We start from the raw sequence: 14,274 nt of genomic DNA on the forward strand, positions 1-14,274 counted from the left end.
AGCTTTTGAAGTGCATGCTGAGGAGCATGGCAGACAATATGGGGGAAGAGAGGAGTCCGCATTTGTAGCACGTATACCAGGCACTGTGGGAGGGCGCTGTATTCATTTCCTGGAGCTGCCAAAACAAATGACCATAAACTGTGCGGCTGAATGCAACAGAAACTTGTTCTCTCACAGTTCAGGGTGTCAGACATCCACTGCTGAGGTGCTGGCAGGGCCACATTTCCTCTGAAGTCTCCAGGGAAGAATCTCTCCTTTCCTCTTTGGGCTTGTGGTGAGCGCAGGTGTTCCCAGGCTTGTGGATGCATCACTCAAATCCCGCCTCCCGTTTTCATGTGGCTTCTCTTCTTTCTGTGGGTCTGTCTCCCTCCGTGTGTCTCTAATAGGGGCACTGCTTGAATTCAGGGCCTGCCTGCATAATCCAGGATGATTTCATCTCAAGATTCTTAACTAAATTACATCTGCAAAGGCCCCTTTTCTAAATAAGATCACATTGACAGGTTCTGGAGATTTGGATGTGGGCATGTATTTCAGGGGCCACCACTCGACCCACTTTCAGGTCCCACATGCATTATCCCACGTAACCCTCAGAACTCCGAGAGACAGATGTTGTTACAATTCCCCTTTGACAGAAAAGGAAACTCAAAAGATTAAAGGTAGACTTTATGCAAGCAGGGATTCCCCTGTCCTCTTTTTATGCCCAATGTGTGCAGTTATCTCTGACACACTGTAGGTGCTCAGTTAATAATTAGTGAATAAAATATCTCAGCCCAAGCTTTATGAGGAGGATAGCATAGGCTAAGAGCCCAGGCCACACTACATAGAACTAGATGCCTGGCTGGATTACTTAATGAGCTGTGTGACCTTGAGAAAATTATGCAACCTTTCTGTGCCTTAGTCTTCTCATCTGAAAAATGAGGATACAATACCACCTACCTCATAGGGCTGTTGTAAGGTTTGCAAGAGCAAATCCATGTACAGTGCCAAGAACAGTGCCTGGCACAATCAGTGCCTAGTAAATGGAAGTGAGAAGTATTACCCCACACTGTGTCCCAAGAGGGGCGGCAGACAGGTGAGGTTAATTAAAGTGCCCTAGGAGAAGTGTCTTGAAGAGCTGTGATCAGACAGCGTAGCGGCTCAACATTGCCTGAGGACTTCTGGGGAGACTTTGGGGAGGAGGAGATAGTTGAGCTGAGTCTAGGGTGAGCAGGGACTTGACAGGCTGAGGAGTGGGAACTGGCATTCTAGGCAGAGACCAGCAGCTGCAAGATCATGGGGGTGGGGAAAACTGGGGTACCTGGAGCTTGGAGGGCCAGGGTTGGGGCTGAAAAGGGAATGGAGGTTAAATCCAAAAATGCCTTGTCTGCTCTGGCAGACAAGAGATGAGCCCTCATCCTGTAGGTGTGGTGGCTCGTTCATCAGGGAGGCAGTGTGACCAAGCTGGCTTGTTGGAGAGTCTAGGGCGGACTGGAAGCCTAGAGGCTGGAGGCCCAGGAGCAGTGAGGCTGCTGCACCCAGGGGAGAGGTGATGGTGGTCTGGCCAGGGGGCTTATGATGAATATGGGGGCAGGGGGAGATAAATAAGCTGTGTCAGAGGCAGAAGCTGCCAGAGCTGGTGTCTGCCTAGGCATGGCTCTGGGGGAAAAGTGGAGGCAGGGGTCGCTGCAGAGTCAGGCCCCAGATGCGGTGGGCAGCGCTGCCTCCTGCCACGGCTGAGGCTGGTCAGGGGCATGGTGAGGTCAAGATGCCCATGATATAACTTGGTGCCTTTTCTCGACTTACCTCTTACCAACTGGGGAACCTTGGGGAAGTCACTTCACCTCTCAGAGCCTCACTTTCTCCATCAGCAAAATGGGGATAATAATTCTACTTCGTATGATTGTGACGATAGTGTGCACTACGTTCCCAATAACTCTTAGCATCTGTTGTTATTGTTACGACTCCTGCCACTGTGATTAGATGGAGGGAGGGTGGTGGGGCAGCGGTCGCTGTGACTGTAGTCCCGGCACATCTTTGCCAGAGTCGCCAACTCTGTGCTCTATTTTGAATTCTTCCTCTCTTCTGTCTTGGATCTCACAAGCCTGAAGAGGAATCTTGGGTGCATCTTCATGGGTGCCAGCCCAAACCCTGATTCTCCTCAAGGTTAAGGTGCTTTTGTTGGGCACATGTGTGGGGTGGCGGGGTTGAGGAGAGGGAAGAGAACAGGAGGAGACATGCAGGTGCTTCCGTGCACCACTACACCTGCACACGGCACGGTTTGGGCCAGGTTGCCGTCTGTCTGCTTGTGGATGTCTGGGGGGAGGCTGTGTGTGTGTATGTGTGTATGTCTGTGTGTGTGTGTCTTTCTCAGTGTGTGTGTCTCTGTATGTGTGTAACTATATGTGTGTGTCTGTATGTCTCTGTGTGTGTAACTGTGTGTGTGTCTGTGTGTGTGTAACTGTGTGTGTGTCTGTGTTTCTCTCTGTGTGTGTCTCTGTGTGTGTGTTTCTCTCTCAGTGAGTGTGTGTGTGAATATCTGTGTCTCTGTCTGTGTAACTGTGTGTGTCTTTTTGTGTGTGTTTGTCTCTGTGTGTGTCTCTGTGTCTGTGTGTGTGTCTGTGTCTCTGTGTGTGTACCTTTCTCTCAGTGTGTGTGTCTCTGTGTGTGTGTGTAACTGTGTGTGTGAGTGTGTCTCTTTGTGTGTGTCTGTGTGTGTGTGTGTGTGTGTATGAGTGTCTGTGTGTCTGTCTCTCTGGTCTTAATTCAACTCAACACTGCAGGTCAGGAAATGTTTCTGATCCCCACTTTGTATGAGTCACTACTGGGCACAGAGAAAAGGGTGCGACTCGCTTGCTGCCCGAGGCCTTCCCAGCAGAAGGTGGCTGGTAGGCGAGAGGGGTGATGGGGATGCAGTGTGCTCCTATGGAGGAGGAACTGGAGCAGGCCCCAGCTACACAGCAGGGATGGATTAGGGGTTCAGGGCTGGAGCTGAATGCTGAGGAGATGTTCTCCTTGCTGAGGAAAGGCACACAGGGGCTCCAGGCCTGGCCCAAGGCCCAGAGAAGCAACTGCAGGAGCTGTCAGGGTGCTGGGGCTGGAGGGGACAGTGTGAACCAGTGGGGAGAGGTACATGAGACTGGAGGGTGGTTGAGGGGGTGCAGGCTGAGCAAAGATGTTACCCCGACAGCACCAGGGCTGCCTCTGTGGGGAGCTACTGTCTTGGGCAGGACAAGGGTGATATTGGCCTCCAAAGCCCTAGGGGGCTGGACCCTGCTTTCCTTCCAGCCTCACCTCAGCGTTCTCTCCTTGTCCCCTTCGTCACAGCCAGACTGCTTCTTCCAGGCCCTCTGGAACCTCGAGCTCCTCTTCCTTGTAGGATCTCTGGGCGTCCTAGAATGCTGCAATGCTCTGGCCCGGGGTTGCCTGGAGCCCAGTCCCCTCTCGCTTCCAGGACCACCCCGTCAAAGGGCCCCCCTCGTGTGCTCTGTTCAGACCACATTCAGTGCTTGGTTTGTGGTTATTTCTTTGGTGAATTGCTCATTGAATGTCTCACTCTCTCCCTCCTGTGAACTCCTTGAGGCAATGGCTGTGCACAGCATCCGGCTCACAGTAGGCCCTTTAGTAGACTCTCAGTGAGCGGACGATGAGTGGCTGAGTGAGTGGATGAGGGGAGACGGGTGCAGAGAGGGTGATTCCGTGGTGAGGACTGTGCCTGTAATGAAACCCTCCAATGTAGCGCTGGAGAACTAGCGAGCTGTTTATCGCGAGGCTCAGGTTGTTAAATTCAAGAAGTGAAACCAAGGGCTTTAGAACGTCTCTGAGGATGGAGGTTATATAAACCGAGTCAATAAATATTGATGTGGAGTCCGGCTTTCATGTTCAGAGGTGCTTTGTGGGGAGGTGGGAGTTTCTCTCCCCGACCCTCTTAGGCTCACCCGGCATGGCGGGAGCTTTGTTGCAGGGATCAGGCACGTAGGCCCCTGAATTTCACAAATCCACCAGAAAGGGAGGCCGGGGAGGCTGGGTCCAGCAGGATGCCTCGCAGAACTGAAACCTGCCTGTAGGAAATCTCGCCCTGGAACCAAACCAGGACTCTCCAGCTCCCGCCCCACCCCAGCAACCATTGACAACTGCATCATCCAGAATCCAGAAAGCTCACCAGTGGAACTCGCCGGCCTGAGCCGGCCCTTCCTCCTCTTGTCTCGCAGTGCTGTGCTCACCTCTTATGCCATCTTAGGCCATTGACTCCACCCCACTGCCCCGTCTGGCCTCAGCACCTGGGACACGCCCTACTACATCAGCCTTCCCACTGGCCCCCTTGCCTTCAGCCATCCCCCTGCAAACATGCCTCCTGTTGCCCCCAGAGACATCACTCCAAAACATAATTCTCACCTTGTCGCTTCCCTGCTTAGAACTGTCACTGGCTCCCTGTTGTCCTTGAGATCAAGTCCAAGTGTAATCTGTTCTTTGCCCCCTGCCCAGGCCCCCAGGCTTCCCCATCACTCACACCCCTTGGGCCAGCCATGCCAAGGCCTGTGATGCCTCTAGAACAGCCTGTGTGCTCTCCACGTTCTTTCCAGGGCTGATGCCATTTCCTCTGCTCAGAGCCTTCTTCCCCTCATCCTAATGTTCTTCCATGAAGTCACTTATGATGTCACATCCCCCAGGAGGACGTCCCTGATGCCCCCGCCCCCAGGTTGATTAGGTCCAGCAGCCCCCTGTGCTGATGGCCTCAGTCATGGTGTCACCTCTGCGTTGCAAGTGTCTACACCCATCAGTCCATCTCTTCCTCCCCCTGTAGACTGTGAGGTCTCAAGAAAGAGCCTGTGCCTGATTCACCACAACGTACTCTCTGACCTCCCCAGACTCTTAGGGAATGATTGGCCTTCAGTTGCAGAAGTTACCAAAATTCAGGACAGGGAGGCAAACTCTCCTTCAGCTAAGACAGCCTCCATTGAGCCTAATTCTGGGGTCATGGAGCATGTGGGGTGGCCTGGCAGAAGTTAGCCCTGCTTGGGCAGAATCCCATGGGCTGGGCTGCACCCGTAGCAACCAGTCAGCATTAGACCCTTGACTCTGACAGTCACGGAGGACACCCCAGCAAGTGTCAGCACACAGGACTGCTTGCATGTGGGGAACCACGTGGGGGCTTCGAAACATGCTGAGGCCTGGACTGCACCCCCAGAGATTCTGGTGTAGTTGGTTTGAGATAGGGCTAGAGCTCCAGGATCATTTGAAACGTTTGAATCCCAGGGGATTCTAACATGTGCAGCTGCTTGAGAACCACTCACAGCTAGTCCTACTAGAGCAGCGCTTCTCTTCCTGGTTACACACGGTAATTACCTGGACAGCCTTGTCCTGGACCCATGGAATTAGAATCCATGGGGGTGGTGACAACCTAGGCATCAGCATTTCCGAGCTCCTCAGCTGCTTCTAATGTGAAGCAGGGTTTGAAACCACTACCTCCAACGTACCTCCCTCCCTCCCTTTTCTTTTTCCAGAAGCATTTGCTGGAGGCCTGCTCTGTGCTCGTGCTCTCTAGCCCTGGTGGTGCTTTGGTGAATCAGCCCCTGCAGTTCCTATTTGGGATTTCTTAACTCAGGGGACGTTAGCAGTGGAAGAGCTCACCCTGTAAAGGGAACCTGTCCCACAGGCAGGCTTGCTGGGTCCTGCACCAGCTCCTAGTGCCCCTTTACTAACCTGCTGTTGGCCAGGGGCCTTATCCAGCCCTGTCTGGGCACGTCCATACCCATGTTGGGAGGTCTTGCCCAGCTCCTGAGTCTCTCAAGAGGCCTGGGACTCTGCCTAGGCAAGGTTTGGGGTTGCACATGGTCATTGGGATGGGAAGCTTTCCAGCAGCTCCCTCAGACCCTGCATCAGGCTGGAGGCAATGGCAGGCTGGGGCTGAGGCTCTGAACTCCCTCCTGAGCATGCACGAGCTCGACAGCTGCACTGTAGTCTGTGGATGAGCCTGCGACTATAGGCAACTCTCTTGGCTGGGCCCAGGTGTGTTCTCTTTGAGGGGAGGGGATGCCAGCAGGATTTTAATATCCCTTTAACAGAAAGGGTCACCACTTAGGAAATTGGCTCCCTGTCCCTAGGGCAGAGCTGCAGGTGCCAGGATGCTGCCTGAACTCTGGGCATTTATTTTTAAAAACTAAGAGAAAACTCGTGTAACATAAACATAATGACTTTAAAGTGAGCAGTGCAGTGGCATTTAGTGCATCCATAATGTTGTGCAACCATCACCTCTGTCTAGTTTCAAAATGTTTTCATCACACCAAAAGGAAACCCTATACCCCTTATCAGTCATTCCCCATTCCCCCAGACCCCCTAGTCCTAGCGGGCTCCAGTCTGCACCTGCCTCTGTGCATTTCCTCATTCTGGGAGTCTCATCAGATGGAATCACATGACATGTGGCCATTGGCGTCTGGGTTCTTTGGCTCAGCATCACGTTTGAAGGGCCGTCTGCATCTGCAGCTGGTCCTTCATTCCCTTTCATGGCTGAATAACATTCCGCTGCATGGATAGACCACAATTTGTTTATTCATTCATCAGCAGATGGAAATTTGGGCTGTTTCTACCTTTTGGCTATTGGGAAATCTGAGCATTTAAAATTTTTTTATATCTCTACTCCAAACACATGTTGATCATGTGTTCCTAGGTCCTCAGCATTTGTGAGTCGTGGTCTTGGGTGGCCTCCTTTCCTGTACTATTCAAATAGGAGTTTCCTAGGGTGCATATGTGTCTTCATGGTATCTCTTGCTTTAAGTCCAACTTCTCTTGATTTCTCCACCTCAGCTCCACCTCTTGCCTGTGTGATACCGGACTGATCTCTGCACCATCTCATCCCATACTGTTATCACTCCAATCCAGGGCAGGAGGCTGATAAGCATGCAACAGGCTTCAACTTCTGGCTTGGGGTAATGGAGAGAATGGACAGCACATGGTGTCAACAGTAGCTTAAAATTGAATGTTACACAGTACTGTCCTAAAACTTCATATACACACTCATTAGGAATTGCTCATGGACGGTGTCTGCCCATGAGATTTGGACAGAATCCTCCCGACATCCATCTTCCTCTTTTCCTTTTCAAATTCCTCCCGTCCAGTATTTAAAACTGCCAACAGACAACTCCATATTTTTGGAGCAATGTAAACTCCTGTCTCCTCCTTTCCTTATAAACATGCCCTGGGGTGGGAAAGAGATGGCATGGGCACTCCCAAAGTTAATTTTACTCTTTTTCTGAATCAAAAGGAACCTTTCCTCCATGAGAAGAATCCTGCCATATTTCTAGGCCAACTGACTGAAAGGGACACCAGCTTTAAAAAATAACACACACACAAATTCTGCTTGTAATATTAGATGCCCCGGTATCATGGGGACTTCCCTGCCCCCTTGTACATAGATGGTGGGATGGGGTCAGTGCAAGCCTAGAGGTGCCTCTGAAGTTAACCAATTACTGGTTTCAGATGAATCCTGATGGTGCCCCCACTTTGTTTGGTGTTGTATTATTTTTTTTAAAGGTTGCTTTCAGATAGTGGATAGGAACTGGGTTATATTTAAGCTGGAGACCACTGCAGGCTTTCGAGCAGAAAAGGGCCATGCTTTGTTTTTTTTATTTATTTATTTATTTATTTATTTATTTATTTATTTATTTAGATGGAGTCTCACTCTGTCACCCAGCCTGGAGTGCTGTGGCACAAGCTCGGCTCACTGCAGCCTCCTCCTCCCAGGTTCAAGCAATTCTCCTGCCTCAGCCTCCCCAGTAGCTGGGATCACAGGTGCCTGCCACCACCCTGGCTTTTTTTTTTTTTTTTTTTGTATTTTTAGTAGAGATGGGCTTTCACCATATTGGGCAGGCTGGTCACGAACTCCTGACCTCAAGTGATCTTCCTACCTCGGCCTCCCAAAGTGCTGAGATTACAGGTGTGAGCCACTGCACCTGGCCCCTGCTTTGTTTTAGATTTTACAAAGCTCTCTCTGGTTGCTGTGTGCTGAATACACCCTAGAGGACAAGGAAGTCGTCACTAGTTAGAAGGCTGTTAGATGCTGTAGGTGAGAGATGATGATGGCTTCCACCCGGTTGGACATGATTGAGGTGGTAAAAAGTGGTCAGATTATGGGTGTATTTGAAGGCAGAAATGATCGTTTCTTCTGGTAGATTGGATGTGGTGTTTGAGAAAAAGGGAGTCATGGATGACTTCAGGATATTTGGCCTGAGTGACTGCAAATGTGAAATTGACATATTCTGAGATGAAGAAGAATGCAGGTGGAGCAGGTTTGAGTTGGGAGGAGAGCAGGAATCCTGTTTGGGAATGTGTTGAAAGTGTGTATTAGATGTCCAAGTAGAGGCGAAAGAAGCAGTTGATGTCCGAGGTTGCAATGCACCAGTGCTGGGGCGCGGTGGGGATGTAAAGCAGGAAGCACTGGAAGTGACAGCTTAATGATCAACTCCCCCACATCCCACATAGTTATCAGGAAAAGGAAAATGAGGGGGAAATCACATGTTAAATCAGAAAGGAGTGGTCGGGTGCAGTGGCTCATGCCTGTAATCCTAGTACTTTGAGAGGCCGAAGCAGGTGGATCACCTGAGGTCAGGAGTTCAAGACCAGCCTGGCCAACATGGTGAAACCCTGTCTCTACTAAACCCTGTCTCTACTAAAAAATACAAAAATTAGCCAGGTGTGGTGGTGGGTACCTGTAATCCCAGCTACTCGGAAGGCTGAGGCAGGGAGAAGCACTTGAACCTGGGAGGTGAAGGTTGCAGTGAGCTGAGATGGTGCCATTGCACTCCACCTCTCCAGCCTGGGTGACAGAGTGAGACTCCATCTCACAAAAACAAACAAATAAACAACAACAAAAAAAACCAAAACAAAAAAAATGGAGCTTCAGAGATTATCCTGCAGAAGGGGGAAAGAGGCCCAAAGACTGCAAGTTAGTAACAAAGCCAAGACAGAGCCAGTTCCTTGGGCCTGTCCCCCTTTCTAGCACACCATGCTGCCTGCCAGTTCTAGGCTCTGAAAGCTGCATACGGGGACTGAAGGTGGGCAGACTGAGGCTGGATGACTTAATTTTGTATTCCTCCAGGTCACCATCCTTGTCAGCCTGGCCCTAGCTTTCCTTGCGTGCATCGTGTTCCTGGTGGTTTACAAAGCCTTCACCTATGATCACAGCTGCCCAGAGGGATTCGTCTATAAGGTAAGAGGTGGTTGAGTAGTCCCAGGTCACTATCAAATTCAGTTAGAGGGTTGATCAATGTCTTCTCTTCACTGGTGTCCAAATTCTGGGTATGACGACCTCTCTACCGACTGTTTAAAATGGAATATGTGTTTGGCAAGGAGTTTCCAAGTTTTCTTGAGGGACTCAGTCTCCAGTAAGCAGTAGAGTTCCTCCCCCAAGATGGTGCTCTCCAGGGTCAGGAGGTGGTCCAGCTTGGACGGCACATCAGCAATGAGGGAAGCAGCTCACTACCTCTTGACATGGACTGTTCCATTTTGGGAAAGCTCGGCTTGGTGCGGGTCTTCCTGGCTCAATGGCTGTTTGCTTACCCTTGCAGTGGCCTTCCAGAGGTGTGAAGGTAGGGCTGGTGCCTCTGAGGTTCTTTGAAGCTCTGTCTCCAAGTCTCCCCTTGACCCACACTCTGATTAAACTCCTTCTCTGAAAGAACGGAACCTGCTGCATGACCTCTGGGAGTTTTCTTGCCCCTCTGAACCTCGTTTTCTTGCCTGCAAAATGGGGGCTCATAATGCCTTTTCCCAGGATTTTTGGGAGGCCTTAAGGAGAGAATTTAAGTAAAATCAGTTAACAAAGGGCCTATTAGATAATGAACTCTCAACAAATGTTAGTTGCAATAAAGACAGAGTCTGTTTCAGAGTGAACACAGCTGATAATATTTATAATTACCATTTGCTGAGTATCTCTAATACATCAGACCCTTTGCTAGATGTTTCCTTAAACATTATCTCAATTGAGCTGTACAACCATTCTGAGAAATAGGGTTTCTTTGGCTCCCATTTCACATATGAGGAATTAAATGTAGAGAGTGTTTAGTTAAGAAGGTTGTCCAAGACATCACAATAATTATGTTTTGATGTGGGGAGATCAAATAGGAAGTGTGCCAGCCTGAAAATGTGTATACTTCGGTTCTGCACTGCCTAGATTACACTCCAATCTGACCGCCTCTAGCTGGTTGACTCACCTATCACCTGGTTGCCTCTCTGGGCCACTGCTCACAGCCAATGACTGTTTATTTCCTCCATTATATACTTGCATCTCTTTTCTCTTATATCAAAAGTCTTGGCTCCTAACAACGTTCACGTAATGATGTATTTGCCTTATCCTACAATATACATAGAACAGTCACAAAATAGCACCAATGTTACTACTAAGAGGTAATGAACCTGGAGACTACTGAACGAACGTGGAGGTTTCTCCGCAACTCCATGTGTCCTTAGAATACACTCCACCAAGGGTATAATCTGACTTCCTAGACTTCCATGGAGGGGGTTCAGATCTGCCTTCCTAGATTACACTCCAAGTGGTCAGAAGCTGAGGTTCTGAGACCATCCTGACCAACGTGGAGAAACCCCGTCTCTACTAAAAATACAAAATTAGCCAGGCGTGGTGGCTCATGCCTGTAATCCCAGCTACTTGGGAGGCTGAGGCAGGAGAATCACTTTAACCTGGGAAGTGGAGGTTGTAGTGAGCCGAGGCCGCGCCATTGCACTCCAGCCTGGGGGGACAGAGCGAGACTCTGTCTCAAAAAAAAAGAAGCTGAGGTTCTGGAAGACTCAAAACAATGGGAACAGTAGGGGACAGTTGAATAAACTGTGACACATCCACCCAGTGGACGTCACTACAACTGGGAAAATGAGGAAGGCAGGCCTCCATACACGGAAAGAGAATGCTCATTAAGACAGTAAGGATGAGTGATGGAAGGAAGGTCCTGCCTATGTGTGGGCAAAGGGGAGGAGAGTGCTATTTGCTTATTGTTTTGGAAAGAAATTCAGGAAGGATACATTTTAAAAATTAATAAAAATGGTTCATCAGGAGGAAGGGATGGACGCAAGGCTTCTTCGGATCTATCTTCTTAAATATTTGTCCTTGAAATATGTAAATGTTTGACATATTTAAAAATAAATACATGAGAAAAAACAAGAGGTTCGTTGTTTAAAGAACCTAGCTCTATATCAAGTTAAGGACATAAACGTGCAAAGAAAATAAATATTTCAACCGGTTGTAGATGACAGCATGTTCGCCTCACACCTTTGGTGGAGTGTATTCTAGGGACACATGGAGTTGCAGAGAAACCTCCAAGTTCGTCCGGTAGTCCCCAGGTTCATTGCCTCTTAGTAGTCATATTGGTGCTATTTTGTGACTGTTCTATGTTTATTGTAGGATAATGCAAATACATCATTACATGAATGTTGTTAGGAATGAAGCCTTTTTTTTTTTTTTTTTTTTTTTTTTTTTGCGACGGAGTCTCACTCTGTCGCCCACGCTGGAGTGCAGTGGTGCCATCTCGGCTCACTGCAATCTCTGCCTCCTGGGTTCAAGCGATTCTTCTGCCTCAGCCTCCTGAGTAGCTGGGATTACAGGTGTGCACCACCATGCCCAGCTATTTTTTGTATTTTTAGTAGAGATGGGGTTTCACTCTGTTGGTCAGGCTGGTGTTGAACTCCTGACCTCATGATCTGCCTGCCTCAGCCTCCCAAAGTGCTGGAATTACAGGCGTGAGCCACCGCATCCGGCAAGACTTTTGATATAAGAGAAAAGAGATGCAAGTATAAAATACAGGAAATAAATAGTCATTGGCTGTGAACAACAGCCCAGAGAGGCAACAAGGGGACAGGTGAATCAGCCAGATAGAGGGAGTCTGTGGGGGTCTCTACAGCATCCACTACAGCCGGACAGTCAGTATGCAGAGAAGGCTGGCCTTGAATCAGTGTCAATATCAGGTTCAGGTCGTCTGGCTTCTTCTAAGTGGAGCTTTGCTGTTTGTGCTGGTGCTGGTGTTGGGAAGGCTGCTGCGTGCCAGGCCCAGGTCAGGAGCTGTCACCTGCCCTCTGGCTGACAGCCCGATGCAGCTGCACTCCAGTCAGGGTGGCTGTGTTGCTGGGCAGGTTGGGAGCAGTTTGCTGAATGACCCCTGACTCTGTCTCTTTCTTCCCCAGCACAAACGCTGTATCCCAGCCTCCCTGGATGCTTACTACTCCTCCCAGGACCCCAATTCCAGAAGCCGCTTCTACACAGTCATCAGCCACTACAGCGTGGCCAAGCAGAGCACTGCCCGGGCCATCGGGCCGTGGCTGTCAGCAGCCGCTGTCATCCATGAGCCCAAGCCGCCCAAGACCCAGGGCCACTAGAGGCCTGCCCCAGCCAGAATGGGGGGCGGGGTGGAGAGGAGGACCCCCATTGGCTAAGCCAAGCTCCAGTTACAAGACAACACTGTACTCCTGGGATATGGGGGCGGGGGCGGGGCAGGGCAGGGTGGGGGGAAGAACGCACCAAAAACGTGGTGTGTGCTGGAGTTGTCTGAACCGATATTTCTTTTTGTTCCTTGGTATTGTTGATTCGTCGCCGAGTCAGGCTCATGTACAAAGGCATGTTTCGTGTTGATTGTTCCCATGTAAGATATTTTTAAAGCCACTGCTTATTCTTTGTTAGGAAAATGTAACAGCAGAAAAGGAAAGAAACAAAGAACATGAACAAAAAGCATTAAACTGGCTCCATCAGAAGACGTTGAAGGGCAGTGAAGAGCACAGACTCTGTGGGCTTCTTAGATAAGAAAACGTAGCTTCAGTGGGGGCTCCAGGGTTGCAGAGTATGAGTGACACAGACCGGGACTATTCCATTAGCCTGTGGTCTGCAGGGTAGGCCCGCAGGAAATGAGGAATGGCCGAGCTGGAGAGAAGAGCTGATTTTGGCATTACTAAGCCCAGAACGCACATAACCCATAGTGAAATGTGCTGGCCTCTGGTGCATTTTGCAAGATGAGCACAAACTTTCTGGGCCTCCATCCTAGGACCTGGGCAGACCCACATGGCCTGGGCTCTGAATGCCCACCCTGCGACGGTGGGTTCTGCATCAGCAAACGCTGAGGAGTGGGCAGATTTTCTTTGTCTTTTGCTTGCATTTTCTAGATCCACACCTGGATACTGCCCATGTTGACGAGACAGCAGCAGGGGGAGAGGGAGGGAAGGAAGGTGCGGCTGCAAGAAGGAAGGCACGGGACAGGCATGTGACACTAGGCCACAAGCGATAAGCACAGGCACCTGACTTTTAAGTTTTTGTTTGTTTGTTGTTTCCCAAAGTGCTGATAACAATAACAACAACAATAGGATTCCAACCAGGAGCCTCAAGTGACAGCCAGGAAGAGACCTGAAGGTTGGGGCCACCACAATGCCAAATCGTTTCTAAAGGAAGCTGAAAAATGGGACTGTCTTTTGCCCACTTCGTTGTGTTAAAAGGGGACATTTGTCCAAACTCCCCAACCGAGTTCTAGAAGCTCCTGACAAGGAGGCAGCATCCAGCCTTGACCAGGCCTCCCAGTTCCCTGGAACCGTATCAGGCATTCGCCTGCCTCTCACAAATGTTTCAGGGAGGCCAGTTCTGCAGGGTGTCAGCTCCAGGACCCACAGGGCCAGAACCAGCTGGGAGAATTGGTTATTTGAGATGTGGTACTGCTTCCTCACAAGTCTCCCACAGGCCATGTAAAGGGTATTTTTTTGTGGCTTGCTGTGTTGCTGAGATCATCGTATGCAACAGCTGGGTAATAAGACTAGCATAGCTCAAACTATCCTGCCAAACGCTCTCATCTGATTTTTCCTCCCTTCTCCCCCAACCTCCAATCACCCTGAGTCACCTGTAAATTCATTTGTCATTCAAAGCGGAATAACAAGTTGTCCCTAGCAAAACCGCTGAGCGCTTTATAATTTTGTGGTGTATTTTTGTCAGTAGGTAGCAGAGGCGGAAGTATTTTTTGGTGTAATTCTTGAAATTTTCTGACAGGAAACAAATAAAGATAGATGTGTCTGAGAGTCTTGACCTTCCTTTGCAATGTTCTTTATCTCCTGCTCAGTGAGCCTGATGGGGAAGATGCTGGGGGTGGGGGTCCCGGAGGGCAGGGTGAGCCCTACAGTGTCCTGTTGGGCTGGGGCTAGAATTGGACTGTAGGGGAATGTCCATCCTCAGGCAACTGGGGCCTGAGATGGTGTTGTGGTCCTAAGGAAGGACCAAGAGGTGTACCTGGCTGCTTATCTGCCAGCTCAATGTCCTTCATGCAGCAGATG

At 49.8% G+C, this 14,274-nt stretch overlaps 1 protein-coding gene across 1 annotated transcript in view; it reads left to right on the top strand.

The window, feature by feature from the left end:
• Positions 1-14,022, top strand: part of NSG2 (neuronal vesicle trafficking associated 2) — a 63,474-nt gene extending 49,452 nt beyond the window's left edge. The window contains exons 4-5 of the mRNA NM_015980.5: positions 9,071-9,181; positions 12,157-14,022. Of these exons, the coding sequence (NP_057064.1) occupies positions 9,071-9,181; positions 12,157-12,348 (303 nt within the window). The 3' untranslated portion in view covers positions 12,349-14,022. The remainder of the gene's footprint in view (positions 1-9,070; positions 9,182-12,156) is intronic.
• Positions 14,023-14,274: the final 252 nt, after the last annotated feature.

This window comes from Homo sapiens, chromosome 5, assembly GCF_000001405.40.
Source record: "Homo sapiens chromosome 5, GRCh38.p14 Primary Assembly".
In the NCBI taxonomy this organism is placed as follows: domain Eukaryota; kingdom Metazoa; phylum Chordata; class Mammalia; order Primates; family Hominidae; genus Homo; species Homo sapiens.